This window comes from Homo sapiens, chromosome 8, assembly GCF_000001405.40.
Source record: "Homo sapiens chromosome 8, GRCh38.p14 Primary Assembly".
Classification (NCBI taxonomy): Eukaryota; Metazoa; Chordata; class Mammalia; order Primates; family Hominidae; genus Homo; species Homo sapiens.
In genome coordinates this window covers 138,172,805-138,190,906 of record NC_000008.11, presented here as the reverse complement: position 1 = coordinate 138,190,906, position 18,102 = coordinate 138,172,805, and the positions used below count along the sequence as shown (strand labels likewise).

Genomic DNA, 18,102 nt, shown 5'->3' with positions numbered 1-18,102 from the left:
AAAAGGTGGGGCAACTCAAAGCTGGGGGAGCAAGGCTTCCAGATCATAGGTAGATTCAAAGATTTTCTGATTGGCAATAGGTTGAAAGAGGTTATCTAAAGACCTGGAATCAATACAAGGGAGTCTGGGTTAAGATAAGGGGTGGTGAAGACCAAGTTCTTATTACGCAGATGAAGGTCTTTAGATAGCAGGCTTCAGAGAGAATAGATGGTAAATGTTTCTTGTAAGACTTAAAAAGGTGCCAGACTCTTAGTTAATTCTCTTCCACATCAGAAAAACAACAACAACTACAACAAAAACATAAAGGGAAGGAGATTCTCTATACAATGTAGATTTTCGCTTAAAGACGCAGCTTTGCAGGGTTCTTCCAAAATATGTTAAATAACTATATCTTAGGGTAAAATACTTCAGTTTCTTTCAAGGGCCTGCTGTCTGTTGTGTTGGTATTTTCTTGCTACAAGGAGTCTGTTTTGTCAGTCTTAAGCCCTCTGTTTTAACATTATAATTTGCTGGTCAGCTGTGCCTGAATTCCAAAGGGAGGAAGGTATACTGAGGCATGTCCAGCCAACCATTCCTATCATGGCCTGACTAGTGCTTCAGGTTTGCATCTGAATGCCCCTGACCAAGAGGAGGGGTTCATTCAGTAAGTTTGGGGGCTTAGAATTTTATTTTTGATCTACAGTGGTGAGGGTTGTGGATGTGGCCATTGCAGGTGTAATTGGCTGGGGCTGGCATTGCAGGTGCTAAGAGAATTTACCAAGACAGTCATAGGTAAAGAAAGGCAGGTTTATTAAAGTACGAAGGTATGAAGATAAGTTGCAAGGGTACCACAGGCAGCGGAGCAGACGAGGGGCTGTCTGCAAAGAGTCAGAGACTGGAGGGAAGTTTAAAAGGGCCATGCTGGAAGGGCTCCATGCAGATAAGGTTGTGCTGCTGGGGCTATATGCAGAACAAGGTATTTGGGAAAAGATGTTGTGCCAGCAGGTTGTCTGTGATTAGCCATGTCTCAAAACAATTGTTCTCCCGCATCTGGGACCCCTTCCTTGTTGTTGCTGACTTATCTTATTAGGACTCCACAATGGATACAGGTACCGTATTGAAGCAGGAAATTTTCCCTAACCCCTTCGTGGGCAGGAACTGGAGCGTAGGCACTGGAGCTAGCTGGCTGCTTCTGCACCAGCAGGGGCAAACTCCACTCACTCAAACCCATTGAGCTCAACCCCTCACAGGAGGTGAGCAGGTACAGGAGCTGGGGTGAGTACTTTGGGATGCTCAGAGGGGCAAAAGTCCATGTGGGCCTCACAGCAGCATCTAGAGGGGAGTACCCATGACCCCCAAAGTCCCAGAAGGAGTGTTACAGTCAGTGCTCTTTTAGCTTTGCCATGTGCGGATGGCTTAAGTGTTAACAGCTCAGTTAACACTTTTTCGCATGAGGTGGTTGCTTTCCGCCAATGAGGGCAGACGGTAAAACAGCCTTTTGCATCCACACCTGTGGTACGCGAGCTCTTGTTTGGCATCCAGGAAAAATGAGGTTGAAGTGATTGAAGGATGGTGAATGAATTGAAGAGTGGTGAATGCGGAGGCTTGCATTGCTGATGAAAGTGGCTCTCAGTGGGAAGGGGAGCTGGAAAGGGCATGGAGCGGGAAGATAATCTTCCCTCAGGGTTTGGCCATCCCCAGCCAGATGCCTCTGCGAAGCAACGCTGTCAAGCCATCCTTCTGAAGTCAAGCTGCTTCTCTCCAGCGTGCAACCATAGTCTCTGGGGAGGCATCCAGCTGCTTCTCCTCTTCTCCTCTCTCTGTTGGTATAGCCTGTTGGTTTTTATGGGCATAGGATGGGGGGTGGGGCAGGCCATGGATGGTTTTGAATAAGGCAACATTCAAGCAGGAAAACAGAAATGCATGTTCTTACTTTGGGCAGCAGTTCCAGGACTGAGGGTGGGGCCCTTGCCAGGACCTTCCCTCTTCTGCCCAGAATTTTCCTGTCTCCTGTCCCTGTCAGTATGTGGTAGAGGGATCCCAGGTTGATGTGTCACTAAGTCTACCCAGGAAAAGGCTGACTCCAGTGGACCTGAGAGAGGAGGCTAGGTTGCAGCCAAGCCTGGAGAGAATACGGAGCCTCTCTTCTGTTTGCACAAAGGCGGTAGATGGAACCTGGAAGCAGCAAGGCGTGAGGTGCAAGGCTGTGCTTGTGGAACAGTGGGCAGGGCTGCAGGAAGGCAGGGCATGGGATGACTGAGGCTCTGTGGAGAGATCCCAGGCTTATAGTGAACAGGCCTGTGTGCCCCAGGCACCACGGAGCTGAAACACATTCCCAAGTCACAGAGAGCCATGAGGAAGGAGGCTGACAAGCTGTGTAGAGAAAGGAACTACTAGGATTTGTCTGTATCCACAGACACTTTGACACCAAATGCGTGGAGGCTTTCCTCACACCAACAACCTTGCCAACTCTCTGACATGAGCTGGATGTCCAGTGATCCAATTCAAACTCAATCCTGTCTACCTGGGTTCAGCATTAGATCCCACTGGTTAGGGGTGCAGCCCCATAAGACAGGCCTCACTTGAGGTGCAGGTTGTGAGTCCTGGGCCTGCAGTACTTCTGACCAATCAGCTTTACATCAGGGATTCCTATGATGCCCTCCTCTAGGTTAATAATTTGGTGAATGGCTCAGAGAACTCAGGAAGCCCTTTTCTTACTATACCTGTTCTATGATAAAGAATATTGCAAAGAGTGCTGATGCACAGCCAGATGAAGAGTTCCACAGGGCGAGGTTTGCAAGGAACCCAAGTGCAGAGACCTCTCACCTGTAGAGCTCCTCCTAGCAGTTGAAGGCGTCCTCAGCTGTACACCATCCTCCTAGCAGGTGAGTGTCCTCACCTGTACACCATCCTCCTAGCAGGTGAAGGCATTCACTAACCCAGAACCTCTCTAAGACCCATCCCTTAAAGGTTTTATGGAGGTTCCCTGATATTAGACACAATTGATTAAATCATTGGCCATTGTTGATTAGCTCAGTCCCCAGCCCCTCTCCTTTCTCCAGAGATCGGGGCCGGGCTCAAAGTCCCAACTCTCCAATCATGGATTGGTCTTTCTGGCAAACAGCCTCTACCCTAAAGCTATCTAAAGGTCTGTCAAGAGTCACCTCATTGGCACAGGCTCAATTAGCATATGTTTGAAAGGAATTTATGAATAACAAAAGATGTTCCTATGACTTCAGAAATGTCAAGGGTTTTATTAATAGAAGCTCTGTGACAGAAACTGTGGAGAGAGATATGTATGTATGTGTATGTATATATATCATATGGGGGCTAGAGGCTCTTGGCCCCTAAAGACCCAATTTCCCAGTGAGTTACAGAAACTTACACACCACCTTAAGGTTACAGAAAGATGGGGGCTTAGATTCTGGCAAACCAGGTTATGGGAGGGAGAGAAGAGGCTTGGCCAGCCAAGGTGGCCTTGTTGTGTAGATGAAGTCTCTCTCACAGAGAATAGGTGGCACATGTTCATTTTCAGACTTTTAAAGGTGTGGAACTCTCCATCCCTCCTGGATCTTGGGAAAGGCATGAAAAAGGGAGGGAGCCTGGCTTCATTATTAGAGGTTCTCTGCAGATACGAATTTTTCCCACTTAAGGCAGTTTTGCAAGATCACTTCTGCCTGGTGGCCAAGCAGCAGCCTTTTCAAAACATGTCAAAGAAATATGTTTGGGAGTAAGAAATTTTAATTTCCTTCCATCACAATACCATACAAGGAAAGGGAGTGAATCTTGAGGCAGGAACTGATGATTAAGGTTAACTGCAGTCACTGCAACAATGACAATACCAACATACCTGGCCTAGGGAATGCTGGCTCCCTGCCCATGGTTCACCAGGCTCTATCCTTGCTGCAGCCCTGGGAGTACAAGGAGGGAGGTACTCAAGTATCCCCAGTCATTTTGCTTTAAATGGACACAGAGAAATGTGGCTTCCTTAAAGTCCACGAATCACCAAGGGGTGGGCCCAGGGCCTAAACACAAGGCCACCTGTATTCCATTGCAGTGCTATCTTGTCTGTTTCCCACAATGGTTCTAGTGGGAGATTCAGGGGTTAGGACGCAGGCTGCCAATGACTTGATCAAGTATATTTTATGAGAGGTCAACTAATTGCCTTCCTCTTCTAGGGCGGTGCCCCAAGCTGCAGGACTACCGGCTCTTGGTTTTGAGTGACTGCATTGCCACAGGCTTTACTTTATACAAAGCAACTAAATTAGCCAACTGCTGCACGGATGTGGCTGGATGAAGAGGGTGGAAAGGGTGTATGGGGGTGTGCTTCCGCCTACTCCTTGGTTTGGTAAAGAATTGGCCGGTCATTGCAATGGAAGAAACAACACCCGCTTCCCAAAAATCCCTGAAGAGCAAGCTAAGTCAGCAGCACTGTTTAGAGGTAGAGCATCGCCAGCTCCTGGTCTCCCCCACTCCTGCCAGTGGTGGGGGTGGGAAGGTGTTTTGGGCGATTTAAAGCAATTTGAAGACATAGAGCTCTGCAGTAATGGAGTGATGTGGATGAATCTTTACTCCATACAATTCTTATAAATGTTTACTTAGCATCTACTGTGTGCTGACCACTGGACTATTCATTGGTTATACAAAGATGGAAGATACCAAGCAGGACTTACTTGCAGCTCAATGAGAAATAGATTTGTTCACAGATAAGGTGGACCCTGCTGATGTGGTCAGTACTGGAACCAGGGAGCGAGAGGTGAGGGGCTGCAGGAGCAAGGAGGAGCGGGCACCTTATCTTGCCTGGGGAGGCCGGCATGGAGCCTGGGACATTGCCCTGAAGGAGTGGGGGGTGTCAGACACCAGTCAGGGAAGGACCCTCAGGGCAGAGGGAACAGCCGTGCAAAGCCCAGGGTAAGGGCCCACCAGACTGAAGCAGCGTGGGTACTTGGGTCCCACCTAGGTGGAGCTCAGGTGGGGATGCAGGGCAGGCTGGAGAGGGGAGTTGGAGCAGTTGGTGAAGACCCCTGCTGTGAAGCCTGATTAGGAAGTGGGGTGTACTCCTCACAGAGGACCTGCAGGTTCTAATGAAACTCAGACATGTGCTTTGGTACAAACAAGTTCAACACATGCTGAGTATCAACTGGAGAGCAATGTTGCTGTTGTTGTTTAATTTGTTATAATACAGCAACGGAGGTTTTCTATAACACAAGAGAATTCCCTGGTTGCCCCCCAGTAAACTTCTGGGAGATCCCAAATTGTCACGTAGTCTTTCCCAGAGCTATACCCTCCTAGCAGGGACTACTAATGATAAGTACAGTTACTAAGCATCAGTGAGCAGCTTCTGACTGTGGGCAGCCTGTTTTGTTGGTTTTGGGGAGTGGCGGAGATTGCGTATTTGGGGTTTGTTTCTTTCATTTGTTTGTTTGCTTTGACCAGTCCTCTTGTCAGAGGGTCTTTAAATGCATTGTTTCATTTAACATCCTTTTGAAGTCCGTGATTCTAGAGGACACTCAGATCCCATGAGGCCCAGTGGCTTCTCGAGTTTCTGCTGTGAAGGAGCTGATCTCAAATTCAAGGGGGTAAAGAGCATAAGAGGCACTCCGGGACACTATCTACCTTCCAACAATGAGTGAAGGAAAGCCATTCCTAGAAACTGAGCACCTAGTCTGCACTGGTCCCATTGATTAGTATGTTACATGTGTGCTCCATGGGTCCTCGTTTTGATGCTGTGATGTAGGTTTTATTAGGCCTGATTCCTAGTGGGGAAACTAAAGCTTTGGGGACTGGCTGTCCACTGTGGTCACTGTTACCTCTCCTTTCCCTGTCCCGCAGGTCAGGGAATTCCTGGCGCTAGGACTTCACAGCACTAACTCTAGAGGGCGACTCTGAGCTTATTGAGAGCCTGCCCAGGGCAGCCCAGAACACCAAGCTCAGCTGGAGGCAGCTGGTTTGAGAAAAACCAATTTCTCTTTCCAATTTTAGAACTTCTCACACTTTAATGTGCACATGAATTACCTGGGGATCTTGTTAAAATGTGCATTCTGATTCTTTTGAGCTGAGGTGGGGCAAGAGATTCTGCAATTCCCACTAGTTCCCTGGAGATGATGGTGCAGCTGGGATATCGTGTATGGCGGTTTGAATAGTGTGTGTTTGAACTCTAAACCTTCACTGGGGGTCGCCCTTTAGGTGGACATCCAGCAGGCACATAGCTGTCTCCTGGTCCCCCTCTGCCATGCCGTGAAGCTGGACACAGGGTTCAACTCTTCTCTGCCCGGTCTTTTCTGCAGCAGTGCACACAGAGCATCTCTCCAGAGGTTCCAGGGGCCTTGGCAGCAATACCCAGACTGCCTTCCTATGGCCCGTCCCATGGAATGGGAAAGCTTCTGGGCCCAGTGAGACCTCACCACATGTCAGGATCACTCTTCACAGGGACTTCTTCTGTAACCACAAGGCCCCGTATGGGGGAGCCCTTGTCTGACTCATCTTTTGCGTCGCACATCCTCCCATACAGAGTGTGCTGCAGGAAGCATGGAAACCAACACAGGGACAACTCTCACTGTCCTGGTTACAAGCTCCTGCTAGTTCCTGTTCACCTGCAGGATGAAGGCCTGATTGCTTAGGATGGAAGTCAAAGCCAAGGACATGTGATGCTCCTCTCACCTGTCCCTGAGGTGCCCCAGCCCTCCTGCACACCTTGTATTTCAGACCTTCAGGGGGCAAAAACAGTATCTTTCTGCAAGCTATGGCCTCTGCCCGGGCTATCCCATCTCACCTTGTTTTTATTCCTGACACAATCCTCATCAGCCTGCAAAGCCCAAACCAAAGGCTGACTTCTCAGGAAACCATCTGAGATCCTGGGATCTGAGAGCTCCCGGTGAGCTCCTGTGTTTCATGGTGCCTTGCTCCATCCCAGCCATGGCTCAGTTTAGTTTAAGGATTTGTGTTACTTTGTTCCTGCTCCACTGAGCCGTGAATTCCTGCATAGAAGGGACTGAGTTCTATTTATATTTGGAGGCTGTTATGAAAACATACTAAGCGTGCTAAATATTTGCTGAAGCAAAACTGCAAAACGTGTCTCCAAATAGCACCAGGTAGAGAATAGATCCCAAAGTAATTATCAAACTGAACTCAACAAGATGTTGGATTTCATTTTTCATTGATAGAAAGTCTCCCGGAACAACTTGAATTTTCTTTCATCCACGTCACCCTTGGTCCAAAGTCATGTAAGTGGATGCACTTGCAGAACTATTGCTATGCTGTTGTTATAAAAATCCTTGAACATCGGAAGGAAAAATAAATTCTCAATGAAGGGGGTATTAAGTGAATCCCATGCCAGAAGTCTCCAGGTATATCCTGTGAGTTTAAAGAGTCTGATACATGCAAAGTTTGCAGGAGATTCCTCCTGTCGTCTGCAAATATATATTGAAGCGAGTTGAGCAGACCTGTGAGCATGCTGTTGTAATACATGCAGTGGTACAGGGGCCAGCATGCAGGTCTACACAGCATGTAGAGGGGTTAATGAGAGGCTGCATTGCTTGGCAACTAAACAGAGCTTTGGAGCTGGACTTCCTGGGTCCAGACATTGCCTCCCACTTACTATCTGTAATCTTGGGCATGTTGCTCCACCTTCAAGTGCCTTAGTTACTCCATCCATAAATTAAGACTGATAATATTAGATTTATGGGTAGGATTACTATAAGGATTAAGTAATTAAGTACATTAAAATTTCTGCAAAGCTCTTGGCACACAGTGCCTTGTAACTCTCAATTGTCAGTGTTGCCATTGTTATTCTTAGACCGCCCCCCCACCCCCCTTGTATATGTAGGAGAGGGCACCTGGGTGGATGGCACTGAACTGAGATCTAAAACAGGAGTGGACATCGCAGGTGTGTGTGTGCCTGAGTGTGTATGCACACAAGGTGTTGGGGAGGGATTCTGGATGAAGATGAGGACATGCACGAAGGCAGGGGTTGTGACCAAGCAGGGGTTTGCAACCCTGGCTGCCCATTACAATCACCTGGGAAAACTTTACAAAGGTTTAATGTTTAGGCCACACCCTCAGAGAATCTGAGACGGGCCCAGACATTGGTGGACTTATAGCCTCCTAGTGATTCCGATGGGCAACCATAATTGAGGACCAGTGAGAGAGCGCGGTTTGTTCATGGAATGTAAAGCAGGCTTCTCTTGACTTAATGTCTATTCACCTTGAAGATGTAATGTAAGTATCACCTCCTCCAGGAAGCCTTCCATGACCTTTCTACAGTACTCAGTATATATCTCTTGCACAGTAGTTTACAAGTATATTATAATTATCTAATTAAATAGCTATAACACGATCATACACCTCTTCCTGGACTGTATGCATTTATGTTTGGCTCCCCAGAGCTCGGCACACCGCTGGGACAGAACCAGCACTCAGTTGGCAGAGCAAGGGAGTAGGGGAGTGAACAAAGGTGCTTGGTTAGCACCCAGGTGACGAGGGTGAAAGTGTGGCAGGCGTGGATGGCAGGGCCTTTTTTCAGGGAGTTTCAGCTATGACAGCTCTGGGCTGCAGCTGCCTCTTTGTTAGTGTAAAGGGCCTCCTCGGTCTCTGGAAAAAACCCTTCCAAGCTCGCCATCTGTGATTGCACAGGCTCGGGCATCTGTGGAGTAGAAAAGTCCTCTTGTGGCTTAATTAGAAGCTTCTTTAACCTTATCTAAAGCCATTTCTATAATCAACTTGAGGCAACATAATCCTCCCAAAGACACATTTAATGAATAGCTTTTCTTTTTTCTCTTGTTCACTCTGGTGGCGGAGCTCAGGATTCGTGCTGTGTTTGCCGGTGCCACTGTGGTGGCAGCGTGGTAGTGGTGCTGTGAGTGAGGGAACAAGGAGGCCGGGAGAGGCAGTCTGAGTTCCGGAGGCCTGGGACACCTCCCACGGACACCGAGCCACCTATTCATTTTGTAAAGAGTCACTGACCCTCACTCTCTATCAGCTGTTGTGCTGGGGCTGGGAATAGTGAGAAGGCTGAAGCTCAAAATGCAGGGGATGTAGGAAGTGAAGCCAGCAACATGTGGGTGGAGGTGCTATGAGTGGTGCCCGTGCAGGTCAAGTAGACGTCAAGAAGGATCTTAGACTTACACGCGGAGCATTGGAGAAGGTTCAGAAGAGTCATCAGAAGCAATATGGACTGTGTGTGGACTCTCTGAATTTAAAACAAAAGTTGAAATTATTTAGAGAAAAAAAAAAGAAACAAGGAGACACAAAATTGGCTTCTGAAATGGTTACCTGGTAGAGGACAGACAAGTCCATAGTGATGAAAAGAAGAAGAAAGGAAACTGGAAGGTGACGGGGGAAGGTGCGCAGGGAGACCAGCAGCCTGAACAAGGGCCTGGGATTGGAGAGGACCAGGTGTGTGTGCAGCCCACTGCCAGCAGGTTGGTATGGCTGGGAACGGGAGTGCACTGGGCCAGGATGGGAAGTGGGCAGAGGTGAGGTGGGGGGCATTTTCAGGAGCAGTTGTGCCACGTGCTGATGCATAAGGTTGGGTCTTATTAGTGAGAGGCACTGGTTCAAGAATCTATATAGAAGTCACTTACAGTTCATCCAAAAGCCTCACTCTCTAGCCAGGAGGTTTTGTAATGACTGACCCTGTCCGCCATATTCCCCATTCAACTTTTACTTTTCTTTTCTTCTTTATTTTTTTGAAACGGAGTCTCACTCTGTCTCCAGGCTGGAGTGTAGTGGTGCGATCTCGGCTCACTGCAACCTCTGCTTCCCAGGTTCAAGCAATTCTCCTGCCTCAGCCTCCCGATTAGCTGGGACTATAGGCACCTGCCACCATGCCCGGCTATTTTTTTTTTATTTTTAGTAGAGACAGGGTTTTACCATGTCGGCCAGGATGGTCTCGTTCTCTTGACCTCGTGATCCGCCTGCCTCAGCCTCCCAAAGTTCTGGGATTACAGGTATGAGCCACCATGCCCGGCCCCAGTTTTTACTTAACACTTTTGACCATGATGTATGGGAATGGGCCAAGAATGGCCATTCCCTGTTTGACCCCTGCCTGCCCCAGAGCCAGTGCTGGAAGTAAAGCTTCCATCAGAAGAAAATGCAGGCGATTCCCTCATTTTGGGGTTTCATAGCTTGTGTCATCATCACAGACTTATCTTACCTTTTGGAAGAAGTAGCTCAGAGATGATGCTGTGGCTGAATGATGTTCTGTATCTGGAAGCAAGTCATCCATGATAAAGCAAAAATATGCAACATTTACAGAACCTTACTGTGTGCCAAACTCCTCCTTCCCTCTTTCTTACTCTTGGATGTCTCACTTTACCCAATTGGTCTCTATCTAGCACTAGTCTTCAGTCTAAGAATAGCAGAAGAAAATTCCAGCATTTCAAGCTAGGCATTGGACTTGGATCTCCTCATATTTTACACCCAAAAGCAGTAATTTGTTTTGCATACTCACTTTACAGATGGGAAAACTGAGGCACAGGGCAACGAAGAGAAAGGAATGGGATTGGATGTGGCTATGGCTGTGTGTCCCTGGTCTATTGTGCATAGTAGAAAGCTCCGCGGCACTTTTAATTGTTAACTCACATTAATGAGTGGAAATATCCACCATTGAACAAAGCTCCCTACGGACAGAGACCCTCTCTTGTTCATCTCTGAGTTCTCTCTTATTCTAAACATGTGCCTGGGATTAAATGCTTGAATAAGTGAGGAAGCTTAGAGGTCAGTGACAGGCTTTGGCAACTGGCTTCCTGCCATCCTCAGAGATGTGACCTCTCTTCTCACCTCTCCAGAATTCGAGTTACTCCCCCAAAAGATGGTTCTCCTGGTATTAAACTGTAGCTATCTAAAGCATTTCTGTCCAAAGGGTCTTCTCCCAAAGCCTCTAGGCCCTTTCTAGTCTAACTCCTCTACATTTTAGTTAATGTAACCAGGAATCTCCCGTAAGAAATGTGGAGTGAAGCCAGGTGTGATGGCTCATACGTGTAATCCCAACACTCTGAAGCAGGTGGATCACTTGAGCCCAGGAGTTCGAGACCAGCCTGGGCAACACAGTGAGACCCCGTCTCTACAAAAAGTTGTCTGGGTGCAGTGGCATGCACCTGTAGTCCCAGCCAGAGGTTGAGATTGGAGGATTGCTGGAGCCCAGGAATTCGAGGCTGCAGTGAGCCATGATCACACCACTGCACTCCAGCCTGGGTGACAGAGCGAGACCCTGTCACTAAAAGAAAAACAAAAACAAATGTGGAGTAGTGTGAGGAGGATGGTGGAGAAAAGCTATGGAGCACCTATCGTGCATGAATTGCCTCAGTCCTCAGGTGCTTTGAGGTTACAGAGATGCTGTCTTCTCTCAGGACGTTTTTTAAACACTTACTATGCGAAGGTGACATGGTGATGTGGCTTCATAGTCATACATCCCTTCCATTGAATCCCTGCTGTATGTGAGGTTGGGCATTCTTTTACTGACTTTCATTTCACTTTCTGTAATTGGATGGCCACAGTAACTCTACCAAAGGGTATCTGGCAGGATTAGATAGGGAGCACCGTCAAATGCCTAGTACTCTACCTTACACATAGGAGATAGTGATGATTGGAAGTTATAACTGCTGTGAAGTACTGCGTCCAGAATTTGATGGGATACAGAGTAGAGTCCAGTAGATGGATCTGGGGTACCTTGAAGAGTTTGGGGAGAATGTGAGTAAAAGGTTTCCAGCTGGGGCAACTGTGAAGACGTCATAAAGCAAGTGTTGTTGGCTCTGGGCATTGAAAAGTAGGGTGAATTGAGTTTTGTGGTGATGGGATTAGAAGGCTTGGATAGAAAAGTTGAAAGGGGATATCCAGGATAAACGAAGAGCGAGGGAAAACATTCAAGGTGCAAGATGTTTATGGAAATCTAAGAGTAAGCTGTACTCAGAACATACATGAAAGTAAAATGAAATGGAAAAGATATACTGGGACTAGGTAGTGGGCAATCTTGCCTGCTAGACTAAGGGCTTTGGATGTTTTTCTATAGATAGGAACTACCTCAATAATTTATTGTTGCCATTGCTGTCTTAGCTTCCAGATCAAACGTGATAACATGATCCTATAGTACTATGAGTTGTAATATATAATACTACAGATGTACAGAGAAAGGAGAGTGCTTTATTGAAAACAGAAAAGTCAGTAAAGACTTCAGGAAGAAGACTGCTCCTGACTTCATGGAGTCAGGAGCCTTGAATACCACCTTTTTTGCCTCTCCAGATGTTGAACAATCCAGAGAAGATCGCTGAGCAGATAAGCAAGGATCTGGCCTGGCTCACGTCCCACATGATGACTCTGTGGACCCAGTTCCTGGACACAGTCACTCTGCACTCCCAAGTGACCACTTATCTCACCCAGGAACACCACACCCTGAGGGTGAGTGGCCAACTGCTGTGCATTCTCTGATCACATGCATTTGATTTCTTTGGAGGAACCTTTATGAGAATTAGATCAAGCATTAGGATTGGCCTCTAGATCTTCGTGCTTTCGTGTCTCTACCATGACCGTGCAGGGTGGCGTTGTGAACTTCCTTAGCCTCTCAGGCCTTTGCTGTGTCATTCATAGAATACTTGCCTTGGCAATCTCAGAGGATTTCAGAGCCTATCACAAGAAATATTAAAAGTATTTTGGAAAAAGTGCTTTTCTTTTTTTTTTTTTTCTTTGAGATGGTGTCTCGCTCTGTCACCCAGACTGGAGTGCAGTGGTGCAATCTCCGCTCACTGCAATCTCCACCTCCCTGATTCAAGCAATTCCCCTGCCTCAGCCTCCCGAGTAGCTGGGATTACAGGCTCACACCACCACACCCGACTAATTTTTTTTGTATTTTTAGTAGAGATGGGGTTTCACCATGTTGACTAGACTGGTCTCGAACTCCTGACCTCAGGCAATCTGCCCGCCTCAGCCTCCCAGAGTGCTGGGATTACAGGCATGAGCCACTGCACCAGCTGAAAAAGTGCTTTTTAATGTAAGACATTGCTCTCTGTGTGTTTCTCTGCCACCAGCTTAGGTACATATGGGTAGGTGCTGATGCATAACTAAATATGCTGGTATTTAGATCAACATCTAGTTAGAACAAGATGACAAAACATATGAAGATCAGAGTCCACAAAATGTTCAGAGAACATACATGACTGGGTTTGGGAATTCTATTTCATCTGCATTTATTTATGGACCCTGTTCACAGAGGTCTTATATTCTAGTAGAATAAATAAGACCTCAAGTTAAACACAATAGCAAAAGCAATGCAAGAACAGATTCATAGACTGCATTCACGTGTGTTCATAAACCAAGTGTGGGCTAAGAGCTCTGAAGGAGAGAGATCAGTTTGGAGGAATGTGAAGACTGTTGATTCAGAACCTTCAGGTCAGGGGCCTGGCTCTCTTCCTATTAGGAAATATCATTCATCTTTTTGAGCCTCAATTAAAAAAAAAGAAAGTGCAGGTAATACCTACCTAAAGAATTGAACTGTTTACATTGTTTTATTCTGCAGGTCCGAAGGTTTTCTGAGGCCTTCTTTTACATGGAGCACCAAAAACTTGCAGTCCTGACATTTCAGGAGAATCTGTAAGTATCCATTGCATGCCCACTTCATCCCTAAAAGCAGCCACCCAAGACATGCTGTTCAAAGTTACTCTTCACTTTCTCACTGGAAGTGAAGGAGAGAAGTCTGCCCACCTCTGCACTTTCTGTCTGCATTTCCTCTGCAGGCAAAAGAGTCAGACAGATTGCAGAGTGGGGAGCTGGCAGGTGGCAGAGAAGGTCACCAGCCAAAATTTTCTTTCATTGAGTATCATGGTTTTGTAGACAGAATCAAGGCACCCTAGGTCCCTGAAGACATCTGTGCTGAGTCCTCTGCGAAATGAATTAGAAGCAGGTGGTGTGGCCTCAAACTATGTCAGAAAAAACACAGAATTTGCCTTAGACTCTGTGGTAGCTATGAAATGCATTCAGCATAAGAATTAAGTCTGAACTACGTAATTAGGAGGGCTGATGAATTGCTAAGTTTGCCTTCTTCCAGAAAAAAAATTGAAAGGTACTCAAGGCAGTGAGAGGGTTGAGGGAGGATGAGGTCACTGTCTCATAGATTCCCAGGTGAGTGGGAGTAGAGAATCTTCCAATATGTTTTGTCCTCTGGTCCACAGTCCAAGGGTTTCTTTTTGCTTCCAAATGATACGTTCACCTCAAACATTAAATGTGGATGGAAAGATGCTTGAGATGCCATAGCAAAAATAGAAGGAGAAACACATGAGACCCATCCATCACTCAAGATGGACGTGGAGACTTTTTCACCTTTCTCATTAGAATCCTGTTTTCTCCCCACAATTCATTCTGTTTGGAAAGTACAATGACATTCACGGCTTGTCTCATGGATTCTGCAAGTAAGGGGGTGGCACCAAGGAAAGCACAGCTGCGTGTTGAAATGACAAGTCTAGGAATTTCTACGGTCATTCACTCACTCATTAATTCTTTTATCCCAGTGGCCAGCTAGAGCTGGGAGAATATATTTTCTAGAATTAAAAACAGAGAAGAGCTAATCTGACAAATACAAACATAACCGTGAGGGTCACTGAGAAAAATATTGCATATCAAGATCCCTGCAGGAAATCTTCTTTCCAGAGTTACTGCAACAATAGGTAAACCTTCGATTGTGGAGCCATGGTTGCATTCTCAAGCAGTGTGAGCACACACAGAGGAGACAGACTCAAAGACAACTGCTCTCCTGGAAGAGCTTTGCAACACTGACCCCCTGTACAAACCACAGATGACCCAGCACTCAGATTACATGGGTTCAAGACCCTGTTCCTGCATTTATTAGCAGTTGGTCCTTGAGAGAGTTATGTTTCTGTCCTTCTTGTTTTTTTCTCACCCCCATCCAGTCTCAGCTTCCTTATCCACACAGTGGGTAAGACAGCAATTGTGAGGACATAATGGGCATGTCCATGCACATGGAACACACGGAGCTAGCCACAGACTCTGCTCAGAAAGTGTTAGAAGGTGACTGATGAAGTAAGCGAATGTGTATTGTCCACATAGGAGTGGAAATACAGCAATAATATAGTAAAGGTGCTGTATACATGGGTCACTCATCCTAGTGAGGAAACAGGCAAGACATAAATTATATAATTTCAAGTTTTGACAAGTGGAAGAAAAAAGCAAGATAAGAACATAGAAAATGAAGAGAAATGGGGTAGTAATCTCATAAATGTTTAGCCACCAGCTTTCAGAAGAGGAAAAACAGACAAAGGACAAACTGCCTTTCGTAGTGTCTGCTGATTTCTTCTGTGCAAATGTTTTCACAATGGCCAGTTTCAAGCTACCACTGTGCTATCACTGAATATGGAATTGGGAAGAGATGTGCACAGTTAGCTCTTGCAAACCAGCGTGAATGGGCTCCAAGGCAACACTGAGTAGAAGAGAAAGTCTGTTTTAGCCAAAGCGATAAGAAAAAGTCTTTTTGAAGATGTGACATTTGAACAGTGTCTGGGGTTACAGCAAGCCATGCCATGACATACAAGAATATTGTTTAGGTAGACAGAATAGTTGTCATAAAGATTCTGATATGGAAACACAATGTGTTTAAAGATCAGCAAGAAGGCAAGTGTAGCTAGAATAGAATGAGAAAGTAGGAGAGGGGAGGGAGGGAGGGCCAGAGGGCAGTAGGGACCAGTCCATGTGGGGCCTTGTCAGCCAGGAAAAGACTTTGGATTGTGTACTGTGGTAATTATGGTTAATGCTTTTGTTTTTCTTTTACCAGCAAATGACTATGGGCCTTGGCATTTCAAATCTTATATACACGATTTGAAATCTTAATTCTGTAACTTGTAATGCTTGTGACATCAAACTAGTTACTGAACTTCTTATATCTAATTTTTTTAGGTGTAAAGGGAAGAGTCCTTCATTCAATAACTAATGTATTTAGTGTTGACTGTGTTAGTTAGGTCTTCACTATGTTGAGTGCTGGATATTCAACAGTGAATAAAACAGACAAATCCACTATCTCATTAAGCTTATATTTTGGTGATGGAAGGCCTACAAGTACATAGATATGATATGCTAAGTGGTAAGGAGTGCTATGGGGAAACATGCATCGCTGTGAGAGGAACAGAGAGTCCTAGTTCATGAATTGTCACAGAAGGTCTGCTGGAGAAGGTGATGGTTGAGTGGAGATCTGAATCAGATGGGAGACGGAGCTCTCCAGATCCCTAGGAGATTGTAATGTTTATCCTCTGAGTGACTTTAGAGATTAGAGAATGTTGTAAGCATTCAGTAAATAGTAGACATTAACAAAAAACATAAATCATAGACTAAGATAAGCGAGATACTACTCAGGAGAAAGTAAACTTTTTGCCAGGTCATCAAGAATAAGAAGAGCTGTAAAACAGAGGGAGAATTTCATTTCAGACTGAGAAGATTGCTAGAGAAAAGGTACAAAGTGCTGTGAAGAGAAGTGAGGCTTACTGTGAGATAGTGAAGAGGGGCTATGCAGGGCTGGCACCTGTGCGTTAACGTGGTTCTGCACACCTGGAGGTCAGAGCTGGAGAAAGGTAGTCACCCCGGGGAGGTCATGCGGCTTACATAAGGCAGCAGCGCACTCCCAAATCAGGATGGACATGAGGCAATGTAGGTGACGGCACAGGTGAAACTCAGCTGTCAAGACCCATCTTGTTCGAGCTCAGATTAAATTGTGTTTCTCAAACAATGGGTCACAATCGTTTAGTGGACAGTGAAATCAACCTAGTGTATTTGGAACAGTGCTTCTTAAATGAAATAGGATAGGATAGGAGGGAGTAGGAAAGGACAGGGCAAGGCAGAATAGATGGTATGAGGAAGGACTGTCTGCTGAAACTTTTGCTTCAGTGTGTGTGTTTCTGGGAGTATGTGATTGCACTGGGTTGCCATGGAAATGAAGACCATCTTTCGCCACGGGTCACAATTTTTAAAAAGTGTTAACAAATAATCTAGAATTGACCAGTAGCAAGGGTGTGTTTTATTGTTCCTCTTCTCTGTTTTACCAATGTCTAGCTAGTGCTTTTCACACAGCAAAGAGGTATTGGGTGAAAGTTTGCTGAGGAATGAATGTGGAAGTGGTGATGGAAAAGAAGGTCTACACCGATGTATTCATTTTCATAACAATAGTAATGAGATATCACTCTGACTTTTGCATTTCCTGTGTTAATTGTAAGTTTTAACTTTTCAAAAGGAATTCATTCTAAGACATGCTATGTCCGTAGGGTTGACCACAATAGGCATTTTACCTGGTGCCAATAAATAGGCATTTATTCATGGTGCTTAGTCTATTGAAACTACTCTGATCAGAAACTGAGTGCGTTACATGCTTTGGCTCGTTTAATGTTCACATGAACTCTATGAGGTAGGTACTATTATTCTCCCCACTTTAAAGAAGAAGAAACTAGGGAAACCTGGGCTCAGAGAGGTTAAGTAACTTATCTTAGACCACACAGCCAGCAAGCGACACAAGCATGGATCTGTTGGAGCCCAGAGGCCACACTCATAACCTCCTTGCTTTGGCTTCTCTGTGCACTGTTGAGCCATCATCTTAAAGAACACATGATAAGAAATAAAGTGAAATGCAGATTTTTGAACCTCTAAAACAGAAGTGTTCTTATGCTTTCGCTCTGTATTCCTGGAGTCAGGGTTACAGTCCGACAGCATAAGCCCGGACTCAGGTAAACCTGACGTTGAAACAAAAAGGAGATGAACCAGGTCCTGTATGTTTCAGGAGACTCTTTCCCTATGTGCCGCACAGAATACCCCAAATAAAATCCAGGGATTCTGCCTGAATGCTCAGAATGGGAGTGTCTCTGCCTACTGTGCAAACAACTGGTTTCCAAGCAAAGCCCGCTCCCCTAGAGTGTCATTTAGAAAGATGAGGAGGTGACCATGTGCTGAACAGGGGCCATGCACGCTCAGACACAGGTGTGCAAGGCCGACCTATGCAGGCTGCATTCCAGGCTTGTCTCTCCCCACTTGTGTGGCTTCTGCCATGGGTGAGGTAGGGGAGGAGTGGGCAGGGAGGGGAATGGGAGGTGACAGTTTGAAAAGGCAAAGGCAGAGTTCAGATTCCTGTTGGGATCCTCTTGATGA

The 18,102-nt window shown here is 46.0% G+C and overlaps 1 protein-coding gene across 18 annotated transcripts in view; it reads left to right on the top strand.

Annotated features, from left to right (window-relative positions):
• FAM135B (family with sequence similarity 135 member B) overlaps positions 1 to 18,102 on the top strand; it is a 367,708-nt gene that overhangs the window by 306,824 nt on the left and 42,782 nt on the right. For all 18 annotated transcript variants that reach the window (NM_001362965.2, NM_015912.4, XM_011517062.2 and 15 more), the window contains 2 exons: positions 12,217 to 12,372; positions 13,487 to 13,560. In NM_001362965.2, coding sequence (NP_001349894.1) covers positions 12,217 to 12,372; positions 13,487 to 13,560 — 230 coding nt within the window. The remainder of the gene's footprint in view (positions 1 to 12,216; positions 12,373 to 13,486; positions 13,561 to 18,102) is intronic.